This window comes from Homo sapiens, chromosome 13 (assembly GCF_000001405.40).
Source record: "Homo sapiens chromosome 13, GRCh38.p14 Primary Assembly".
Classification (NCBI taxonomy): Eukaryota; Metazoa; Chordata; class Mammalia; order Primates; family Hominidae; genus Homo; species Homo sapiens.
Genome location: NC_000013.11, coordinates 27545913 through 27571169, shown reverse-complemented (window position 1 = coordinate 27571169; position 25257 = coordinate 27545913). Strand labels below are relative to the sequence as shown.

At 35.8% G+C, this 25257-nt stretch overlaps 1 protein-coding gene across 9 annotated transcripts in view; it reads left to right on the top strand.

Moving 5' to 3' along the window:
- The window catches only part of LNX2 (ligand of numb-protein X 2), a 75195-nt gene extending 49938 nt beyond the window's left edge, over positions 1-25257 (top strand). For 7 of the 9 annotated variants that reach the window (XM_017020434.2, NM_153371.4, XM_047430148.1 and 4 more), the window contains 8 exons: positions 1894-2141; positions 3331-3530; positions 8389-8757; positions 11185-11328; positions 14757-14934; positions 17731-17962; positions 20679-20837; positions 22700-25257. In XM_017020434.2, the coding sequence (XP_016875923.1) occupies positions 1894-2141; positions 3331-3530; positions 8389-8757; positions 11185-11328; positions 14757-14934; positions 17731-17962; positions 20679-20837; positions 22700-22835 (1666 nt within the window). In that variant the 3' untranslated portion in view covers positions 22836-25257. The remainder of the gene's footprint in view (positions 1-1893; positions 2142-3330; positions 3531-8388; positions 8758-11184; positions 11329-14756; positions 14935-17730; positions 17963-20678; positions 20838-22699) is intronic. The other 2 variants (XM_011534995.3, XM_047430151.1) reach the window with 1 other exon arrangement.

The following is a 25257-nucleotide window of genomic DNA, read 5'->3' as shown; positions in this document are numbered from 1 at the left end:
CAGGCTGGTCCATCTCATTTAAATATGGGTTTTCCCAAAGGTTCAATCTATGGCCTTCCTCTTCTAATGCTGAGTGAAATAATTTTTCTGTATTTTTACATGATGTCATTTTTAATATTTTTCTTTAGTTCCTGTTAGCAGTTTGCTGTCTCACTGGGACTGTAAGTATACTTGTTACTTTACCTCTCTAACAACTTTAGCTTTTCCTTTTAAAAGTTATTTTTGTGTGTTTAATAACTATAAGATAGGCCTTACATATTTCGTTTGTGAAGGTGTAGAGTTGTTAGCTAGACTGATTCCCAGGTGTACATAATCTGTCTGTATTTCTTCTTAAGTTCCAGTTCCTGGTTCATTTTTTCCATTGAACACTAGCTATTCTTGTGTAGATATTTGTGTATGATGTGATTTTGTAAATTAAATCTTTACCTGTCTTTTCAGTCATATTATTTTTATGGTCTAGTTTTAGCCTCAACTTTTTTTTGAATAAAATATTTTAAAAATATATTTCGAATTAAACCTGCTTACTTGACAAAAGTAATTTTTTTCATGATCTAATTTTCAAAAATACTTGTCAGGCCCTTGCGAGAGCATTCCCTGGAGTGCTGTACAACAATACAGAGGAGAAAACCATTTGTCCCCCTTCTTAACAAGGTGTAGAGCAAACAAGAAATGAGAGAAAGGTGAATAAAGATATTTCATAGTGAATCCCTTTCAAGAACTTGAAATCCAGGATTTAAAAGAAATCTTTAGTTCAGGAGGGAAAATATTACTTTTATAGTTAAGCGATAGCTTTTAGTTTTAATTGTATTTAATTCTGTGTTGTGTTAGAAATTTTGGAGTTTTAAAAATATTGTTGAATGAAGGTCTGCAACCCTAGGCATAAGGTCTGTGATCACCCATCCTACCAAGCGTTACTGTAGCTAATTACAACCAAAGCATGTGTCATCCGTAGAGTCGTGGTAGGCCTCAGGTATATGTGTCCAACTTTCCTTCACTAATCTTTTTGTCCTCCTCCCATCCTTCAAACTAGGGGTTATTAGTCACTGTCCAATCAAGGTGTCCAATGGAAAGGCACTGGCCCCTTGACATCATTTTTAATATTTGTTATATAGAGCCTTTATTTAAATGTTTCCTTGATTATAAGTTTAAAAACAAGCATCCATCGGCTCCTTTTATTTGCTTAAATAAGTAAAAACAAACAGGTTAACGGTTGTGATTTCTGGGTGTTTATGTAAGTTTCCGAGTACTTGGAATATATTCTTCAGTTTACATAGCATATCAATAATTCTATTGAAATTCTAATTTCACAAACTAGGAGGCATATTTTTCTTTCCATGTCTATCATAAAATAAATTATATGGGTCTTTCCTTTGCCTTGCAGTAAGTTGTAAAGCTTCAGATGTCTCACTACCCACTAATTAATGAGCGTGTCGTGTGTCTGTGAAGAGTGTAGAAGCATGGTGGCACAATCAAGGTCTAAGTCAGGACGCAACCACTTGTGGGAGAAGACTGCTGATTTCACTGCTGTGGTTAAGCCATTTAACCTGTAAATGGGTTATGTGATCAGAATTTCAGAATAATTATTGCAGTACAGAGATGACTATGAGGGTGTTTTCTGGTGACAAGTATATACCTGCATACAATTTTTTACTGACGTATTCTTTGGATACATACCAAACCATTGTTCATGCTAATCCTTCTGTTCTTGATTATCTGCTCTATGGAGCAGTAAGAACTTAGTGTGAGTGGAGATTAGGATCAGAACTATGTGCTGCCTATAGGTACTTCTAGCTTCTGGTTCTGTTTGTGTAGAAGCTATTAGTCCCCCTCCCTATTTTATTTGTTTGTTTGTTTTCAAAATCATCTGGAAACCATCTGATATTCTTTTTCTAGATGTCCTGGAGCTTCTCATCGGAGAGTTGCCCTGGAGAGAAGGAAAACTAGTAGAACTCAAGCAGAGATTGAGAATGAAAATGGGCCCACTCTACTAGATCCTGCAGGTACCTTATCTCCAGAAGCAGACTGTTTGGGGACAGGCGCAGTGCCTGTGGAGCGGCACTTGACATCAGCGTCTCTTTCCACATGGAGTGAGGAGCCTGGCCTTGACAACCCTGCCTTTGAGGAGAGCGCTGGAGCTGACAGTATGTGTGGTGCAACTCCTTGTGTATTTCATCTCTATTTCCTTTCTTCCCACTACTTGCCCAACATGTACTTTTTTCATCTTTAAAGAAAAATTTAAAAAATAAAAATAAACAGAAATAAAAGAAACTTCATTGAGATATAATTTATATACATCATTCACCCTTTTCATTGTACAATTCTAACAGTTTGCATTTTAGAAACAAATCACAAATCTTACCCCCGAGGCAGATGGTCCTAACCCATCCCTTTTCTGTTGCAGTCTGTGCACTCACTAGTCATTCGCGTGGTTATTACTGTCTGTGTTCAGAAACTTGTTTGCTTCTTGTCATAAGAAGTCAACATCAAGAACAACACAATTAAATGCTATTCTGTGTCAGGCACTGTGCTAAACATTTTATATGTATTAGCTATTTAGATGCTTGTAACATTTTAAGTTTGGGTTTTTGTTTTTTTTTTAAACAAGAAAACTGAGGCTTGAGAGATTAATTGGTCAAGTTTATACAACCAGTAAATGACTGGGTTTGTATTTGACTCCAAGACCATGCATCTCACCGTTATACACCTCTGGTACCAGCCACTGCTCTGTTACCCACTAGGAAGTTAACAGAAGGCCCGTAGTCATGGATCTTGGGCATATCATGGTAGTGGGCCCTTGATATTTCCTTTTAAAAATGATTTTCTTTTTCCAAGCTCTACTACAAATTTGAATTTTCCTTGCCGCAACTATGCGCCTTCTTCATTTCCTACGTCTCCGTTCAAGACCCACCTCTTCTTACGAGCTTGATGTGGCTACTCTCTCAACACCTGTGCTGTTTCTATGCCACAGAGCTAGTGTTTCCTTTGTACTGCCTCTCATTATGTACAGTTGTTTCGTGGTCCAAATTTTCTCTCATCAATGAGGACAGAATGACTTTCTTTTCATATTTCTTAATCAGATCACTGTGTCGTCCCTAGTGATCTGATACATAGTAGCTATTTATTATTTACTGATCAGTTTTAGTAGAGAAAATTTTTAGATAATCTTAACAACAGATATTTTGTCATTTTGTTTCTTATCCAGTGATACTGCTTAGCTGTTAATCATGTATTAATGTGACATACTTACCTGAAGATAATCAGAATATAAATTGTTGGGTTTGTTTATTTTTTTAACATCTGTTTTTGTCTGTCTCATTTTTAACTTGGCAGCCACACAACAGCCACTTAGTTTACCAGAAGGAGAAATCACCACGATTGAAATTCATCGGTCCAATCCTTACATTCAGTTAGGAATCAGCATTGTGGGTGGCAACGAAACACCTTTGATTAACATTGTCATCCAGGAGGTCTATCGGGATGGGGTCATTGCCAGAGACGGGAGACTTCTTGCTGGAGACCAGATTCTTCAGGTATCAGTTTTAATTATTCTGTTAACTTGTGCCTTTTTGTTCCATTCTTAACACTTAAACCTTAGAAAATTGTGCTGTTTTGGAACCTAAATTATATATAGATTAGTTTTACTGTTTCTATATGCAAAACATCAGAATTTATGTGTAATTTGTGGTATTTTCCCATATACACAGAGTATTTTTTCTTCCTATCTTAATTTTCATTCCTGCATGCGATGTGGCTTGGCACATGATCTCAGGCTTGCTGAGCTAGCTAGACTCTTCCTTGGGCTGACTAGCCTCTTCCTGCTTGGACTTCTTGAATGACTGTTCAAGGGTCACCTTCATCCATGTTGAAATTATCATCTCATTGGTATTATTTTATACCCAGTTTTCCCATTCATTACCTTCATTGTTGGATTTATCCTTTTCTATACAGACTACTAAAATCTAGAAAAGAAGGAACCATGCAGCACTCATAATTTATACCACAGATTATAAGATAGAGTTCAGAAATCTTGCAGTCATCTCCTATCAACTCCCTAATGCACTCTCCTCAGCAAACACTCTAACTCTGCATTTTCAATAATCCCCTTCGCTCCCCTTACTGTTTTCCCTTTCAGAAGATGATCTTTAAGAAGAAACAGGTATTCTCCAGAAATAACTAGCATGGGACAAGATATTTTATTAGAGGGCAAGTTGAGATGAGGGGAGGAGGATGGTAAGAGTTCTACAATCCCGGAGTTGATGTTAATACCGGCCTGGACCATTTTCATCATACAAAGGTGATAATAATTGAAGCTTAAAAACGGATAACTTCTAGGAGAGAGAGGAAATATTCATGAACAAGAAAAAATGTCTCCTGTCAACCCAAGCGCAGGGACTCCTCTCTCTCCTTGGATTTGTGGTTCGGTCCTTCACCATGACCTGTTGATATCTACCCCCTACTTCCATTTTCCTGCCACTTCTTGAGTCTAGGACTTCTCTTCTTCATATCTAATTTAGTAGAATACCCCATCATATACTTCTGCCTCCCAACTCTCCTCCCTTAAATCTGAAACAATCACTGCCAGGTTAATACATCAGTAACCCTGCTTGCCTTGCAAAGGTTCAACTAGGAGGTCAAGTCCAGACTGATTAATCTAATAGTCAGGGTCCTCCACGGTCTCTTCTACAACCTGTCTTGTTAATCTCAATTCTTCATTTCAGGCACACCAGCTCATTCATTTCTCACAACATTCTAGGCACTATACTAGTTGCTGGTGGTACATTTCAGAGCAAAATACTGACCTGTCCTCGTGGAATATACAATCTAGTGGAAGAGCCAGACATAGCAGTCTTCTTCCTTCCCTGCAAACACCTTATTCCCACATTGCAGCCTGTCCTCATCTCATGAGCCAGTTTGTTCACCTTCATCCTTAAAGCTTTTGTTCAGCCATTCTCCCCCATACTGATTCCTCCTACATTAGTTATTATTGGCATTCATCACTTTTCTCTTCATCACTTGGCACGTGATGAGTTACAGAGAATTGTTTGAACATTTTACGTATGTAGGCATGATCTAAGGTAATTGCAACCACCCTAATGGTACAGATTATGATACAGATTTCTCATAGCTTGTAGTAAGTGCTCAGAAAATATTTGCTGAGTCAATAAAAGAGTGAATTTGAATATAAGATGCTGTTGGGAATAGCCATCTCCTTTATTAAAAGAAAAACTTGGTTAGGATTTTTAGTTGTTGAAAAGAAATCTCTAGACTTGGGGCTATGGGAGTCTACAAAGGCAGCCAGGATTGACCCTACTAGGGATTCTTGGGTTTGATTTCCACTCCCGCTTGTATGCTGCTTTTCATGGTGTATTATTCCTGAAAATAATTAACACCAAGCCTAAAACCTTTCCTTCATTACCCCTAGGCATGGCTGAGACAGACTGAGCTTTCAAACAGTGTTTTTTTTACCAAATACTTAGATGTAATAGACGAATACAGGAACATAACTAATCCAGCTCATATAAAATCAGATTTCTGATCCTGTCATAGCTAGCTATTTAGTTATCCTAGCTGCATTTTATGATATTAGTACTTTAGCTGCACAGGCTGGCACAACTTGTAGGACCCCTTGTATTATTTACATCCTAGCTCCTGACTTGATTTTGCAGAGAGCGACTCTTACAGCTCATTTCCCAGGTTCATCCTCCCAGACATCTTGACACTTTGGTGGTCAGGACCAGGAAGGGCAGATAGTCCTTTTCTGCAGCCCACTGAGTGTTCTTTGACTCTCCCACTTCTGGGCTTTTTAGCTGAAATGTAAGTGTACACTTATTTTTTGCTACTAGCCCAGTATTGTTACAAATGTTTTTATTTATATTTCTTTGAATATAACAGATTTGTTTAAGTTTTTTTACTAATACATTTCATCAGTGGGCTTGTTTCTATTTTAGAGAATGGTTCATTAACACTACTGAATCTTTAGACCTCAAAAGATTGTAATTATCTGAAATTATCAACCATATTTTTGGGAATTAATTCAGTTATAAAGTCTACATTGTAGAAATTCCACTGCATTATTACTGTTTATGGAAACCTGTATACTAATAACTCCAATAATGGCAATCTTACATCTAGTTTAATGATTCAAATTGATAAGAAAAGTCTGAGCACATAATCTGATTAATGAATTCACAAAGGGTCTCTCCTATTATAGGCCCTGACTTCTGGTTGGCTTTTAACTGGTGTGTTGGAGCCAAGTAAAGCCACCCCCCTTTCCCACATATGGACTATTTATGGTTATTCAAGAGTAAACACTTGGAAAGAGGCCTATTGGTATTTTTTACTATCTGGTTACCTCCAACTTTGTATAAGCTAAATAAATATAACACAGTGAGCCAATTTGAAAATCTCGAAGAGGCAGTAAGATGGTTGATTTGCAGACCAGAGAGCTAGCTTGCATTTTCATTTTTGCAGACCATATACATAAGCAGTGTGTGGCTTTGGTGGTTTTCCCACATTTATATATATTTATTTACATATACAAATGTTATTAAATAGCCTCTTTGAAAAGGAGAACCATATGCTGTTAGAGCTTTTTGCTACTCTTAGAGTTTCATATGCAGCCTCTTTGAGCAGTTTTGAAGAAAAAAAAATACTGCTATTATAAATTACCTCAATATCATTAATAAAAGTAATATAACTTAGAACATTATTAAGAATAAGTATTTTCAGTTTAATGAAGTCATCAATAATGGCATTTTCAGTTCTGAAGGAAAATAATTACAGCTGTTGATTGATAAAAAAATACATTTAGCTCAAAAATGAGATAGTTTGCTATGCTGATGTTATTTTTACAAAATCTAGAAACAATATTTTATTTGGTTTCTGCTTTCTCTGAATTTCACTGGCAACCATGCATTCCTGGAGGAAAAATCTTTTTCCAGTTGTAGAATATTCCCCAGCCTGCTTCACAAAGATGTTATGAGGCTGCATGTTTACACATGGCTGGATTTTAGCCAGACGTTTTGTAAAGTCATTTGTGATATGTGTGATATGTCTGAATATAAGACAGAAAAATGTGAACCTACAGGTAGGTAGCTTTGTAGCTAAATAGTTGGAAATGGTGGTTTGACTAATGAATCTATATCTGCGTGGATTTTTAGAAGCTGCTTTCTAAATATAATAGAACTTCAGAAGTTCCATTCTTGACCCTGTATTATTCAATACTTTTACCAAGGACTTGGATGACTACCAAATTAATAGATGTTGCAGACTTGGGAGAAAGCAAGTTTGTGTGTGACATCTGTGCATTTGGTGACTGAATTCTGAAAGGTGTTAATAGGTCAAAATCAACAAAATTCAAAATAGTATTTACAACTATCAATCCTAAGTCAATAGGAAGAGGAAAGTCTTGCCTAATGTGGATTTGTGTGAAAAAGATGTAAGAATTTTAGGTGATCATAAACACCTAACTCAGAGCCTGTCATATAACAGATGGTCAGAGGATGTTGGTTTCATCTCAGACCGATTCAGAGAAGAACTCTAATTGTGATAAATGCTAAGAATCATGCTCATCTCTTGTAACTAAAGAAATAATTGAAGTTAGGTGTATTTTCTAAGTGCTGTTACATACCCAAGGATCAGTCACTATACTTTTTTTGAGATTATAAAGGTGAATACATAAATGTTATATGAGTATTGAATAATGCATTAGATATACATTATATTTTACTTTTAATGGTAAAAACCGTAATTACTTTTGCACCAACCTAATATTTCTGTGCTGAAGAATTAGAGTGAAATTACAATTAACCTGGTTTTCTTTCAGGTAAAAGTCACTTATCTAAAATAAGTTTGTATACCTGAAATGTGCTACTTTCCTTAAAATAACAATTTATTTTCTCTAGCTTAAGTGTATTTAATTTGGAAGAAGCAAATTTGTAATCTAGTAAAACTTAAATTTCTGTTCCACTAGAATTAGTATTTATTTCATTAGCACTTGCCCCATGTTAATCTGTTCATTCTCATACTGATCCCATGAAGTAAACACATTTTACAGATGAGGAGACTCATTCAGACAAGTTCTATAATTTGCCTAAGTTATCAGTTAGTAAATGGTAGTACCTAGGACTCTAATTCAAGACCGTCATTAAAGCCCGTGATCCTAGCTACTATTCTCTCCTTGATGCTAGTCACTGTAAGTTAATATTAGAAACTCTGTTTTTAAATGTCTTTAATGTGGTTTTCTTTGTAAATAATGATTGTATAGCATTCTCACCATACTTAGCACTCTCACAATACTTAGTTTCCTGTGGAAATGTCACATAAACATTCCTACAAATTGGAAAAATAAAAGGTTGTCACACTTCGGTCACAATTCTTTTTTTCTAGGTCAACAACTACAATATCAGCAATGTGTCCCATAACTATGCCCGAGCTGTCCTTTCCCAGCCCTGCAACACACTGCATCTTACTGTGCTTCGAGAGAGGCGCTTTGGCAACCGAGCACACAACCATTCTGATAGTAACTCTCCACGAGAAGAGATTTTCCAAGTGGCTCTTCATAAACGGGACTCTGGTGAACAGCTTGGCATTAAATTGGTGCGAAGGACAGATGAGCCAGGGGTTTTTATTCTTGACCTGTTGGAAGGGGGGTTGGCTGCCCAGGACGGCAGGCTAAGCAGCAATGACCGAGTGCTGGCCATCAATGGGCACGACCTGAAGTATGGAACTCCGGAGCTTGCTGCCCAGATTATTCAGGTAAACCCTCTTGGCCTTCATTCCAAAGGCTTGGCCGAAATGATCATATAGTAGTATTTGTTTTCACTGGCCAATAACATCAGAATTCAGGGGACATTTTATATTTCATTAGAAAATCGGGTGTGGCTACCTGAATTCTTTAAAATCCACACTAGTATAACTTCATTGGAGATAGTCTTTTCTAAAAACTATATCCCTGTGAATTTTGGGGATGGTTATTTACAGAGCGTAGGCTCTACTGTTTCACATTCATTTCTCATTTGGGTCCTGGGTTCTACTATTAAGCCAGATGTAGCAGATGATATGTCCACCTTTTAGAAGTGAGGAAAGGGAGGCTCAAAAGAGCTGTGATTACCAAGGATCTGACTTACCTGGTCTCTTAACTCCCTGTCAGGATCTATATAAATAGAGGAAGAATAACTCTTATCTCTATAGTGCTTTGTTGTTGTTTCTAAGGAATTCACAGTGTTTAAAATACATGATAAAATTTGTCCTCATAGCATCTTTGTGACATAAGTAAGGATAGTCATTATTAGAGAAAGAACATGTTTTTCATAAAAGCATGAAGATGGATAAGTTGGAAAGTCATCCAGAGGAGATCTATACATTCTGCAACATGCCATAGCATTTAATGATATGAGCAACTTCTACAGTGATAAGGGTGCAACAAAAAGATGTTTTTCTTAAAGTTAGCAAAACAAAACACTGTAAAGGAAACCAAGAATTATGTAATTGAGGATCAGGAAGTAGGGTAGGCCGATAGTCATTGAAGAATGTGTTTACAACACAGAATCAAATAACAATGAAAATTTAAGACTATAAGAAAATTCAAGTCTCAACTCTCTTTATTGTATTGAGAGGAGATTCTGATATTGGTCTAATTTCATAGACTTGAGGTTTAAAGAAATTGGATGCCTTAAAATTTCCTCAAATCAAAGGCAACATTAGGACCTATATCTGTGGGTATTAGCCAGCAGCTGCACCACTAAAACCCAGCTCATCTTGTAAGAGTGGAGATTAGTGGGAGGGAGGGGAGAAAAGAGGAGGAGGAAGAAGAAAGCTAATAGAGTTATAGCATCTGTTTGAGTAAAAGAGTCAAGTGAGAGGCCAGATCAATAAGATAGAAAATAATAGATGGACTATATGTATTTCAGGCAATGTTTAAATTATCTAATCTAGTTCATTCAATTGGATGATTCTAACTAAATTTCTAACCAAAATGTGAAAAATACAGATACACAGATAGAAAATGTATTTTAAATTGTCCGTGATCATATTTTATATTTGGATGTTATAAATAGTTTCAACGTATTTTGTGCTATAATTTTCTCCAAATAATGGAAAACTAAAGTTGCTCTGTTTCTTTTTGAAAATAAGTAAAAGCGTTATTGTTTTTGGATTTTAAAAAATAACATATACTCCATGTCTTAAAAGGAGACCAATAGTAAATGATTTTAGTAAGGCATTAAACTTGTTTCTTACTTCTTTTCTAATGTAAGATTTGAAAATAAAGTGATTTCTTAACATTATTGACTATAATCATGGGAGAGGTCTCCACTTTGTACCACAATTTCTTTAAAGCAGGCTATCATATTTTCCCATAGGAATTACAGTAAAATTGGGCATTGTGGTCATGACCAAGAGTCAGCATCAAATAAATTAGACTTATAATTTAAAAGGAAGTATTAAATAACTTGTAAAAATGTAACCAATGTAAACATATGTTCAAAATATGATAGCTAACAAGCCTCTAAATTTAAAACGACAGTCATGAACCTCTAAAATAATTTAACACTGGAGACGTGTGTCACATTCACACAAGTATGCTATATATATATATATATATACACACATACATATAAAGTCTTGTTATGCAGGATTTCTGTAGTCATTCTTTTCAAGAATGTTGAAGCCGATATCCTACTTTTGACTCAGACCTATAGCAGCAGAAACAAAGCTGTGCAGAATTTCATTATGATTTCTGAAGTAGCCACCATGGAAATTTATTTCAAAAGTCACAATGGACTTTAATCAAGTTTTGAAGCAGTTCTTCCTTTTATTTCCTTTGCTCTGTCTTGCAATATTAAGGCCAACCTTGAAGATGCAAAGAAGTATTACAAGAAAAGTTACCAATCATGGGGCAATAAGAGCCCAGGCAGTGTGACCACTTTGCCTTGGTCATTTTGGAGGTGGGGTTGCAGACGGCATGCCCAAGATTTTTGTGTGTATGTGCTTCAACTGCTGAAGTTTTAAGATATTAGCTAATGAAATGAACTCATTCCTCTTGCCACCAGGTGCTTGCAGTCACTGTCCAGATGACGCCCTGGTACAGTGATTAAGAAGTTCATTGAAAATTACACTGTGTGTAATCTTTAAAATGACAAACATCATTAGTCACTTATGGTAATGTATTTGTGTTTTCTCCAGGCCAGTGGAGAGAGAGTGAATTTAACAATTGCTAGACCAGGGAAACCCCAGCCTGGTAACACCATTAGAGAAGCAGGAAATCATAGCAGCAGCAGCCAGCACCACACACCACCACCGTATTATAGCAGACCAAGCTCACATAAGGTGAGGATTTTTTTTTTTTTTTATGCCACCATCAAAGGATCATTGTTACAAGCTGGTAAGATTTAAATGAAGGTTTTTTTGTGTGTCAGTCACACCTCAATAAAGCAGTTTTTTTAAAAAAAAGATTCAAATGAGGGTTGTTATTCTGTTGAAAAATATAGGTGTTTGGAATATGAAATGTATATGTTTTGCTACCTTGGAAAGTGACTGCTTTGTTCCTTAGATCTGGAGATAGTTTCTTGGAGGGGAAGTTTCCTTTGCCAGGCGATTAACAAGAAGCGTGAAATCTTCTATCTGTTTAATCCTACTTGAAAGTGGAATTTATCTTGGGTTGCTTATTTAAATATAAGAGTTAGTTGATGAAAAAACATAAGACAAGATTGACAAATCTATGCTTAATAATTGAGCCTGTTGCCTACAGAACCTGAATTAGATACATGAAGATTAAACATATGAATCATGAATTTTGATAGGTACATATATAGCATATTTACGTATTTGATAGGTACATATATAGCATATTTCTTTTTATGTTAAAGCTTAGAGGAATATTACCCTAAATCATTTAAAATTTCCATATGTTAAGCTTTGTTACTGTTTCTTCAGAATCAGTATTTCACTGGTTTTATAATGTATTCTACCTGAGCTGAGAATTTTGATGCTACCTCACTTTCAGTCCAAAAATCTGAAAGGATGATACTTTAGCATTCTTGATATTATTTACTTCATTTCATCCTTCATTTGAACTCTTAACTTCCAGTGGGCCAGAAGTTTTAAAACAATGATGTTATGCTTACCCAATTATGCAAAAATAAAAGCTAAATGTGACCTACCAGAGTAATTCTCCTTAAGTAAAATTAAATTGCTTTACTAAGCAAAAACTTATTTATTGTCACCTGAAAGTAACATTTGAGTGAATAATTAGCTTTGGAGTCTGTCTCTGGTACCCTAAGAAAGCATAGCTTAAAGACACAGTATTTTTGGCCCATTGGGTTTATATGGTTTTCTGAGCTTAAGTTCTCTACAGACTTGTCATTGGTCTTTGATTTAGTTAATACTAAAAAGAAATTATAATCACAGACTTCATTCTCATTTCTGAGCAAAACCAAAATGTATGAAGGAAACCTATAATTTGCCTTTAAATAATGACTGTGGAAAAGGGGTAATTGTTTTAAACAGGACTTTTTGAATAGGTGTTGTTTCATATAGCTAGTCCTTGCTTTACAAGTTTTTTATACATATAAAACTATAATATAAGGTACAAGTTGATAATTGAATCTTTTATGTTATTGAATTTTATAATTTGAGATAGGGGTGTATATAACAACATTATAGTTTTAAGAGAGTTTGAAAAACTGTAATTAATAATTCCAGTATTCCTATAGCAAACTCTCCTTAATTCAATTTGTTGTGGGCACATGTATTTTTCTGTCATAACTATGCTAATTCTCATTCTCTTTAATTTTATATGACAATGTTCTAAATAGTGATGCTGAATTTATTCTATTCCAGGCACTCTGCAAACCTGGCTGGTTAGAAAAACCACTTGAAATGGAATGTGTTCATTTAGCTATTTACTACTAAGATGCTCCATTTGTTTTGTCAAATCCTGATACAGAAAAGTAAAGGTCTCCTAGGGAAAACACATACACATTCACCAAAACAATCTTTTCAGACAATTATAATCATTCTGAAAAAATTAAAGTATATATTAGTCTTCTATAAAGCTTCCCAGTAGCTGTTCTGATAAACATTCATGTTTGTTTTAGGAAGTTCCTTGAAGCAAACTGAGTATAATCTTTGAAGTTTGGTTGGGTTCCTGGGTAAAAATTGCATACATTTTAGACACCTAGAGTAATAAAATACCCACACTTTGCTTAAATATGTAAGGGCTGAACCTGCTTAAATGAATATACTCAAGGTTGAGTTTACCTGAGTTGTCTTCAGAATAAAGTTGTGTTTGTCTAATTTTGAAGGCTGCTGACAAAAATTTCATACCTTTAGATAGGAGATTGCCTTAAAACATTTACAGATTTTCTCCTTGGTCATAACATTTTCTGGGAATACTATGCTGCTATTACACATAGCTCCTTTGGTAAAATTTCAAGAGTATAGATTTCACATCTGGAGAAGGGTAGATAGGCCTAGAATTCCAGGCCCTGATTTAGAGATTTGATAAATGCCATTATTAACAGTTAAATACATGTCAATTCTCTAATGTGATTTAAGGAAATGTTATAATTCTGTGAATGTAATTTGTATTTTTTATATTATTAACAATTTTAATTATCTACAACATTCTCTTAACAGTTAATAAGTGTTAAAACCTTCTGAGACATTATCTTACACTGTACACTTAATGGGATAGTTCTTGTGTAGGTGCATATATACAATATGTACATGTAGTCTATCACACTATATAAACATATACAAAATACTATTTGTATTAATATATAGTACATTCTTTTAACATACGTAAATTTTGAATCCCAGGACAGTTGCCTATATTAACATGATTCAGGACAAGTTACATGACCTCCCTAAGTTTGTTTCATCATCTGTAAAATGGGGTCAATAATAATATATAATTTCAGGACTTTTGTGAAGGTTAAATGAAATAATGCATGTAAAGGCATTAGCTTTTCACAGGCTAAGCCCAAATGTTAATTATTATTTTAATATTAATATTGCATATGTACATCTTATTTTTTACTGAATTCTAATTCAAAAGAAAAGTGATGTTTTAAATTCTTTTTCTTCCAGGAACATCTCAATAATAAGTAGTAGTAACAAATGTCAGTAAAAATAGGAGATATTAATTTGTTGGGAATTTATTTCCCTGTCATTAACTTTTTCAAAAATTCAGTCATTTTATATCCTTTTAGCTTTTCATGAAGATTTTGAAGGTAGATTTGCATCTTCTTCATGATTGAGCACTCATAGTAGTAGTCAGTGAGAATCAGGAGATAGGTCGATGACCTTTTTCTGGCAGTTGCCAAAATCTACACTTTTGTACTACTCTGTCAACTTTTCTGTCAAAGAAATGGGGGAAAGATGGAAGTAAAATTAATTGATTTGTCTTCAGAATCTTAAAACTCAAAAGCATCATTTACTTTTGTGAAGTTGATCAAACATGAAGCTCAAACAAATTATACAAATGATGTGCTTATTTTACTTTGACTGCTGTATTTCAGCAGTCCTGAGTTTTTTCAGCTACATAAACAGTCATGAAAATAACATAGTCCAAAATTTGACATTGATCCACAGCAGACTTATTAAGAACTGTGTATTACTTTCATTTGCAATTAAGGAATAAAAAATAATTACTTTATAAATGCCATGTAAGTTATTACCTTAGTTTGAAGTAATAACTTTACTTCAACTATATTTTATTCATTATCCAATGATTTTTTTCTTGTATGTTTTAGGATCTTACTCAGTGTGTTACATGCCAAGAAAAACACATTACTGTAAAGAAGGAACCACATGAATCCCTTGGCATGACCGTTGCTGGGGGCAGGGGAAGTAAGAGTGGTGAGCTGCCCATCTTTGTGACCAGTGTGCCACCCCATGGCTGCCTTGCACGAGATGGCAGAATAAAGAGAGGTAAGATGGGATCTTGAAAAATTTTACCACATCTTATTTCTGAATTAAATGCACATTTAAAAAAATAAAGAATATCTACAAAGTATCTATTAAACATGACTTTTTTAAGTTCTTTAAACTGTCCCTTGCATATGGAAGCATAAAGTCATTCTATGAGGTTAGAAAAATGCCTTATATAAAGGAAAGTTGCTGAACCTTGATGACAGTTCCAGAATTTGCTAACAGTTACTCAGACTCTTAGATTATTTTATCTTGGGAAAAGATCCTCTAGCATTACAACAGACTTAGATACTCCAAAGGGCCATCTCACTGAAAAATGTTTCTTTTAATAAAGTGTCTGTGTAGAAGGGGACTCAGAGAGGAGGTGGAGCAGAAGACAAAATTAATTTTAGGGATAAATGCATTTGCCATTTCATATTCCCTATCAATGCTATATAATTTGCATAGATGGGGGTTGCAGCTAGCCACTATTGCCATGGTAAAAATAGCAGTCTCCATTGACTTAGTTTGTATATAAGGTAAGAAAAGTGACTCTGAAAACCTATTTTTCCAGGAATGAAGTTGAACCCCTACCTCACACCATAAACACAAATTAAATCATAATGGATGCAAGATCTAAATATAAGAGCTGAAATTCTTAGAAGAAAACACAAATGTAAATCCTCATGACCTTGGATTAGGCAGTAGTTTCTTAGATATGACACTAAAAGCAAAAGCAACAGAAGAAAATATAGACAGACTGGACTTTAAAACTGCAAACTTTTGTGCTACAAAGAATACAACCAAGCAAATGAAAAAATAACCCACAGAATGGGAAAAACATTTGCAAATTATATATATGACAAATGACTTGTGTCTAGAATATATATTCTTACAACTCTAATTAAAAAGACAGAAAACACAACATAAAGATGAGGAAAGAATCTGAATAGACATTTCTCTAAAGAAGATAAATAAATGGCCAGTTTTCCCATGAAAAGATGCTCAGGCTGGGTGTGGTGGCTCACGCCTGTAATCTCACCACTTTGGGAGGCCAAGGCAGGTGGATCGCTTGAGCCCAGGAGTTTGAGAACAGTCTGGGCAATATGGCACAACCTTGTCTCTACAAAAAATACAAAAATTAGCTAGCTGTGGTGGTGTGAATCTGTAGTAATCCCAGTTAGGAGCTGAGGTGGGAGGATCACCTGAGCTCCAGAGGTCAAGGCTACAGTGAGCTGAGATCATGCCACTGTACTCCAGCCTAGCATCAGAGTGAGATCCTGTCTCAAACACAAATCAAAACCACAGTAAGATACTACTTCACAACCAGTAGGATGACAATAATGAAAAAGACAGCCAATAACAAACACTGGCAAGGATGTGGAGCAGTGGAAACCCTCATTAATTGCTGGTGGGAATATAAAGTGGTACAACTGTTTTTGGAAAACGGTTTGGTAGTTCCTCAAAGAGTTAAACTGATTCCTCATATAGTTTCCATATGACCAGCAATTCCACTTCTAGAGAAATGAAAACAGCTGTTCATACGAAAACTTGTATACCAGTGTTCATAGCAGCATTATTCACAATAGCCAGAAAGTGGAAACCACTCAAATGTCCATCAGCTGAGGAATGGATCAATGGAATGTGGTCTACCCATACAGCAAAATATGATTTGGCCATGAAAAGGACTGAAGTACTGGCACAAATTACAAGGATGAACCCTGAAAATATTATGCAAGTAAAAGAAGCTAGATATAAAAGACCATGTATGATTCCATTTACATGAAATGTTCAGAAGAGGCAAATCTGTAGAGACAGAAAGTAGATTAGTAGTTGCTTAGGGTTGGGGAAGGGAAATGATGGGTATAGAGGGAGTGATTAAAATGTTCTCAAAATTACTGTAGTGATGATTGCACAACTGTGAATATATTAAAACCATAAAATTATGTTCTTTAAATGGGTGAATTGAATAGTATGTGAATTATTTCTCAAGCTGCTATTAAGTAAAGGTTATTTGTCCAGTTGTAGTATTGGGGTAATTTTATTTCCTTTTTGTTCTTTTATTGTGTTTTCTAAATTTTCTACAATGAGAATGATTTGCTTTAATAATCTGAAAAACTGATGATAAATTGGGAGAGATAAATTTCTGTAGACTTTGTAGCACAAATGTCTGCTTCCTACAAAACTAATCCTTTCCTAACCTTTGATATAATCCTCATTGCCATTTTTTATTATATTACTTAGCAGAGCAACAGTTCTTTTCTTCCTGAAACAGGGAAGACATTCAAACCGCAAGTTTCATTTCTTCATGTGGGCCCAGGGATAGCTTCTTTGTACATATTCTGATGTTTGCCCTGAATAAACTATACAGGGCTGTCCTTATGTATAGAACTGTGTAAATATAAAGCAGAATACATTAAAGATTTATTTCTAAGGGCAAAGGATCAAGTGATTTTTGATTGGACAGAATTGTAGAAATCTCTGAAACTCTTAAGAAGAGAAATGAACCTGCCCAGGGCCTGTACACAGCTAAACTCAGACTGATGATTCGAACTTCCAATCATGTCAAGGTGCCTCAGGCCACACTTTTTTCTATGTATTATGACATTATTTTAAAATTATGGAATGTTTTCTGTGTATTGGGTTTCTTCTCAATATTATAAAAATTACAAAGAAATAATAAATGCCATTTATTATTATACCTTATCTCATCAGAGTTGGGGGAACTAACTTTTGTTGCTTAGTTTATAAACAACAAGATTTGCAGGTGAAAACTCAGTGGCTCAGCTCATTTTTCTTGTTTCTTCATCTGAACAGGTGATGTGTTGCTAAATATCAACGGCATTGATTTGACCAATTTAAGTCACAGTGAGGCAGTTGCAATGCTGAAAGCCAGTGCCGCGTCCCCTGCTGTTGCCCTTAAAGCACTTGAGGTCCAGATTGTTGAGGAGGCGACTCAGAACGCGGAGGAGCAGCCGAGTACTTTCAGCGAAAATGAGTATGATGCCAGTTGGTCCCCATCATGGGTCATGTGGCTTGGGCTTCCCAGGTACTGAGCGCTTTCTTGTTGCTTTATGGAAATCATAATCATGCTTGCAGCCCTTATCAGTGTGTAGCATGATAAATTTACTCGTTGGGATAAAAAAAAAAGCTTTAATTCAGTAAAATAGCAACATCAAATCAAATTACAAAAGAAAAGGATAATTTTTCTTAGGATATTACACTTTAAAAGGTACACAAAGAAAGCAGTTGTGTCCATTCCTGTCAAGGCTCCTCAGTGGGCTAGCCATGAGATTGGATAACCCAGCCTCTTGCTTAGAAAAGTTGTCGTTTACCAGCACTCATTCCGCTATGTGCTGAGACTTCATGCATTTTTCATCAGAAAACCCAGGCCAATCTTGGGGCTTCCCCCCATCCCAGAAGCCTTTCTTAACACCTTTTTAAATTTATTTTAACTCTCGCTAAAAAGGGTGGCATTTAAAACTCAATTTTTATTGGATACAAGAGTCTATTAAGCCAAACCATTAGTGTTCAAGAATGGCTGCTTCACTTTTATTTTTTATAAATGTGACCAGCCAAGATATGCTGTGGTTGGTCAGTGTCGGGGTCACAGAAGCACATGGAACCTCCAGTGGCATCCCAGGGTACATTCCTTTCCGCGGTTGTTGTTTGACATTTGAGATAGGAAGAATGTGTTCCTATCATCATTTGTTGTCTAATCCGTTTAGATTCTTACCGTACCTAAGAATCCTAAAACTAAGCTATGAAGCATTTTGACTTTTGACCAAGTATGAAAATTATTGATTCTTTAAAATAAAACAATAAGAATTTGCTATTTTCTGAGCCACCTGACTCGTGGGATACATTTATAACAACAACTAGCATTTATATAGTGCTTCAAGGCGCTTTGCGCATAGTGGGTGAGAAGTGGTCTACTCGTGCAGTGGCTGGGCAGCACGTTGCAGACCTCAGAGCTTGTCTGCACCTCTAATGATGGGGCAGGCAGAGAGCAGCAGCGTCCTGGAGAAACTTGGTCCCTAGTGCTTCCTTTAATTTTCCTTATCTGATATACCAGTCTAGTTTGGAGGTTGGCACATTGACCTCTTTTTTTCAGAGCATTTTCTGGTGTGCCAGGCATAATAGCAAAGATTTTAGATGAGAAATACACAGTATAGTAAAATCTGTTTTTGAGCCCACCTGTGTTGAAAGAATACCTGTCGATAAAAGGCTACTATTCAATGTGTGTATGGAGGTCTCTGTTGAATGCAAAGCTATATTCAACAGCCATGTGTCCTCCTCAGTGGGTGCAGGTGGCCCCTATATGCAGGTTTCACACGGCATAGTGTAGCAGCTCTGCTCTGCTTTTCGTGAAAAGGGAGATTCTTCCACTGCGATTTGCTGGGGTATACAAGAAAGCTGTTTGTTTCAGAAGATGCAGCATTAGGAAAATAACCAACACTGTCCCTTTAAATCCAGGCCAGTGCATGGGACCTTGTTCCATCCCAGAAGCCTTTCTTATCAGTGAGCTAGGAAACTAGATAAGATGAGAAGTTCTGGCATGGTAAACATTGCTTTATAGAATTGGCTTTATTAAGAAATAATAAAACAGGATTTTTAAAATTAATTATTTATATTATGTATATTTATTATTTTATTATGGATTTAAAACAGGAAACCTTGCCTTCCGTGCATTTAGATCCAGTTTCACCTAAAGATGAAAGATATTTATTTATTATGAAGAGTTTTTTTTTCCTTATCATTTAGGTGTGCTTTTTTTGTTTGTTTTGTTTTTAAGATTTTACTCACTGCTTGTTCCCAAATCCATAGAGCTATGGAAACATAAGTACATTTTTTTTTTCTCCCTCTCTGGACACATCCTGCAATCTGGCAGTAGCATTCTAACTGTAGTTTCTCAGTGTCTATGATACATTTATATATGCATGTGTGTGTATAGATGTGTATATATTTTCTTTTTTTTTAAAGATGGGGTCTTGCTCTGTCACCCAAGTTGGCATGATCATAGCTCACTGCAGCCTCAAGCTCCTGGGCACAAGCCATCCTCCTGTCTCAGCCTCCCAGTAACTGGGACTACAGACACATGACGCTGTACCCAGCTTGTCTATGATAGAAAAAAAAAGAAAAAGATTTTTTGTTAGTGTTTTTCAGATTGATTTCTCTATTTTGGCAATTAGAGTCTCCCTTAAAATGAAAACATCCTAAGTAAAGGAGAAAATAACAAATAACTCCTCATGTAGACTAAAAGCCTATAGGACCTTTAGAAAAGAGAGATAATTATCTGCCTTCTTTTCGGAAGCTGCGTTCCTAATCTTTTTCTTCTTTCATTTGCATGCTGGGCTTGGCAGTACTAGACCTCTTTCATCCCACATTGTAATTCCTCTTGTAGATAAAAGTGATTAGTAGAATTGAGGACTTTGTTGACAATGCAGTGAGCTGATATAGGTACATGACCTTTTTGTACAGGTTACTGAGGTGTAATTTGTAACCAGGTTCTCTACTTGTGTGTGTGTGTGTATGTGTGTGTGTGTGTCTTCACTTGGGAAGACTGAAAAAAGTTGGAGAAATTTGAGTCTACCTAGGACTGTGTCTCTGCTAGAAGATGGATTGTCAAAATAATCTATTTATTAATAGCCCTTTTTCTTTTTTCCAAGAGTGGTAAATATAACATGGTATGGGGTTATAACAAAAATAAGCGGCTATAAAAGCCTCCATGTTAATTTTTTCTTTATTTTTCTGTTTGTTTATAGCACACTTCATAGCTGCCACGATATAGTTTTACGAAGAAGTTACTTGGGAAGTTGGGGCTTTAGTATCGTTGGTGGATATGAAGAGAACCACACCAATCAGCCTTTTTTCATTAAAACTATTGTCTTGGGAACTCCTGCTTATTATGATGGAAGATTAAAGTGAGTCTTGTTCTAATTAATGATGTGATTCATGTTGATGACATTGGACATGATCTAGACCAGGGGTCAGGGGTCAGCACTAAATCCAGCCCATTATCTTTTTGAAAATAAAGTTTCATTGCAGTGCAGCTACACTTACTGGTTTATGTACTCTCTGGCTCCCACACTACACCAGCGGAGTTGATGTCATCATGACAGAGACTGTATGGGTCTTGAAGCCTAAAATATTTACCATCTGACCCCTTACGGAAAAAATTTGCCAATCCCGATCTAGACTGAAATGTTACCTTTACTGTCTTGTCACTTATAGCTATGTTTCATTAATCTGATGACAGAAACTGAACCTGAGTTATTTCATTGGACATATTTCATTCATCACGTTGTGATGTGACATTGAGCGCTGAGTAAGTTTCCCACACAGCCTACTCAGGTCCAGTCCTGTCATTAGATGACTCTGCTTCATTTTTCTCCATAGCACTCATCTCTACCTGAGATCGTATTTATGCAAGCTCCATAAGGGAGGGATCTTGTTGCATTTATTGTTATATCCCTAGCAGTCATAACAATACCTTGCATAAAGTAAGATCTCCATAAATATTTGATGAATGAATGTACAATAGCTTACAGGATGCCTGGCGCGGTGCTAAGTGCTGTGCATGCATTATGTAATCTTTTTAACAATCCTATGAGGTAAGTTTCTTTATTATCCCTGTTTTAAAACAAACAAGATAACTGAGGCTTGGAAAGGTTAAGAAACTTGCCCACAATGAAATAGCTGAAAGTGGTTGGCTGGCATTCAAACCCAGGACTATCTGGCTCTAGATCCCTGGACTTTAACCCCTCTGCCAGCCTCTACCACTGAGCAAAAGTCCTCGCTCAGTGTACAGCGTCTTATCAAAGCCCGGGCACTGGGAGAAGAAAAGAGAAGGTGTCATGGCAAGACATCATCACCAGCAGAGAGGAGGTGGTTGATTGTAAATTCTTAATACCTGGTTTACGAAGGAAGAACCAGTTCTTAAAAAGTAAATGTTGACATTCTATATAGAATGCTATGCAGATGGAGAATGTACACTGTTTGCAAGGAGTAAGTGACATCTAAATAATGTATGGAAAGGTGATTGGGAGTGGTATGCTCCAGGTCAGCCTATATTGATAAAGATGAAAAAAAATCATTTTAGGAGGACAGAGTAGGGAAAAATGAATTAATCACTCTCTTAGCTAAGTTACTTAACCAGTCTGGGCCTCTGTTAATTATAATTTGTATTCCTCCTACTTCCAAAAAGAAATTGAGGTAGTTAACAATAAAATAGTATATTTATGGTATAAATAGAAGACCAAAAACCATAAGGATAATTATGGTAATTATAAGGCTGGAAAGGTCCTCCAATTCATCATCCATCCATAATAATTCTGCTTAGAGTACAGTGAGCGTCAACAGCTGAAAGAAGAGGAAGTATGGGTCTTATTTCCAATTTAATTCAGCCCTCAGATGTATGAGCTCTAAGAATGAATAGAAAAATAGCAGTCAAAATAATAACCCCCTTCAAATGCATGACTTGGTATTTTTTTAAAGAGAGAGCATATTTACTCTATATTTTGCTTAAATTAGTGTGAAAATTACTCTGCTTGTCCTTGACATTCACCTACTGGTTATGGAGTCATCGGCACAGGGGTTTCCTTGATTGGCAAGGGAAAGCCAGCATAGGCTTAAGGGCTGTCCCAGACAAAGTAGATTATACACCCTAACCATTGACAGTTCAGTGGTAAGTGAAACCGCATTTTTCATGCTACATAAATCTCAATTGGGATATTTTTAATACCATGAAAATAGTAACATTCTGTATCTGTCTCTCTTTGTCCAGGTGTGGTGACATGATTGTGGCCGTAAATGGGCTGTCAACCGTGGGCATGAGCCACTCTGCACTAGTTCCCATGTTGAAGGAGCAGAGGAACAAAGTCACTCTGACCGTTATTTGTTGGCCTGGCAGCCTTGTATAGATTTTGGAAATTGGTTTCAAATCTTGCATCTTCCTTTTTTAGATTTTTGAAAGAAAACCCTTTGGTTTCATTGTGTTTGTGGTTTAGGAGCTGCTGACACTGCTGGTATACACAGGGCCAAAACCCACTAAGATTGTCCGTTTATGTTTATTTAAATGGTTTCCTAAGTTAGTTACATTTCTTTTAGCTTGGAAACAGTCTTCCACTAACCTTTGTGAGTTTATATTTTCAGAATTCAGACTTAGTTGTTAAAATGTTACCTATGGTAATGAGCAAAGCTCACCCAAACTGTGCCCCAGATGGAGTAAAGACCTTCTGGTGGGTCTTTGTTTTCAGTAACTGAATCATAGAACGAGTTCTGTATCCCTCAGGCCTGATGTCAGCAAAGCCAGTAACAACAGCGTGTACTGCCACTGTCATAACCAATACCATGAATGAATATACTTTAAATTTTGGTGATAACTGTTCCCCATTTTTTTTTGAACCACAGTCTCACTCTCACCCAGGCTGGAGTGCAGTGGCACAATCTCAGCTCACTGCAAGCTCCGCCTCCTGGGTTCACGCCATTCTCCCACCTCAGCCTCCCGAGTAGCTGGGACTACAGGCGTGTGCCACCATGCCCAGCTAATTTTTTGTACTTTTAGTAGAGACGGGGTTTCACCGTGTTAGCCAGGATGGTCTCGATCTCCTGACCTTGTGATCTGCCCGCCTCAGCCTCCCAAAGTGCTGGGATTACAGGTGTGAGCTGCCGCACCCGGCCGTTCCCATTTTTTATTGGTGCCAACATTTCAAAACTTCATACTGTTTATAAACTGATTTTCTGGTTTATTTCTACTGTAATCTCTCAATATTCATAGAAGATGAAGAAATAAGTCTGACAACACTAAAGAAATTTCTTAATATACTATTATTAGAATAGTAGAGGATAAAAGATAATGTTATCCAGTTACAAAGGAATTTGGATGATAATTATAACTTAATGTTAGAGATGGTAAAGCTGCACTTACTTGAACAGCCCAAAAGCATTAAAAATCTATTTCCAGAGGAATGTTTTGCTATGTAGGGAAATTTTGAAGTAGTTTTTGCTAAAAAATTATTTCTAGAGTTGTGTTATTCTTAGCAGTAATCTTGGCTAGAAATGTTTTTGTGATTTATGCGATTAAACGAAATGATAAAGATAAAACCATATTATTAAATACCTATATATCACAGCTAAGTAGGAGAAAGGGAGACCTTTTTATTTTGTTCAGGTAGGAGTATTTCTTGTGTATTTTAGAAACAATTATTTTTCCCATTATTTCTTATGAGATTAGTTGTTTCAAGTAGGAGACAGAAAAGTTCTGTTTTGTTGGAAATGTAGGTTTTAGATGTATCTTTCAGTCAGCTCTCAGTCACTAGACTATTTCATATTTTTTGAAATGTTTTTGAAAATTATGACTAGCCCATTTTTTGTCCTTTATTCAACATACTTATCCTCTGAACACATAAATAAGTGAATAAGATAAAAATATCTTTACCTTATTAATATTATACATACTTGAAAAAAATTTCATTTAGAAACCTAGTTCAGAATCTGAGCAAATTTACAAGTGACCTCTGTAATAAATGGTATTGATAATCAGAGAATGTATTTCAGAATACTACAGTACAATATATTATGAAGCATGACCACTTTATTTTGAAACTTAGCAATTGTATTGCTGGGGTTTATTGTATCTGTAGCATGTCACTGATTATTTCAGTTAGTTTTATAATGATTTTTAAAAAACATATCTATTTGGAATAAGATACAGCAACAATCATTGCTACTGACTTGTTCAACCCCTTAGTTACACTGTATGATCAACATATAACAAGATACAGTGGAATGGCCCATACAGTATATTACTGTTGTGTGATGATTGGCTTTGGAAGCAGTTTGATTTTGAAATGCTTTGATATTCTAATTGACATGGAACAAGTTTTTTCCCTGCTCCCCAAATAGAATTTTGTAACCAACTTTGCTATTTTTTTAAAGTTTGTAAGAATGTGTCATTTCTTGGGGAGTAGCCATCCATCAACAAATATCCTGACTGCTACTTTGTTATATACAAAATACTTACATTGAACCTGGTGGCATAATGAGTATTTTGAAAGAAGAAATTTCTTCACTCTCATTTTTATAGAAATCTTGGAATCAGCTTAAGCTGTAGCTTTTATGACAAAAGACAGTCATTTTTGGTCAGAGTGATATTTGGTGACGGAAACTTGTTCATAATTTATTGTTACTATAGAACTATTTGGATTTTCTCATTTTTAGTTCTGATAGTTAAATATTTTGGTTTGTTCTGTGCCTTCAGTTTAAATTATTTCAGGATTTTTCAGATGTTTAAATAATGGTGTGAATCATTCAGGATGGAAATAAAAGTCATCCTTTCTGTAA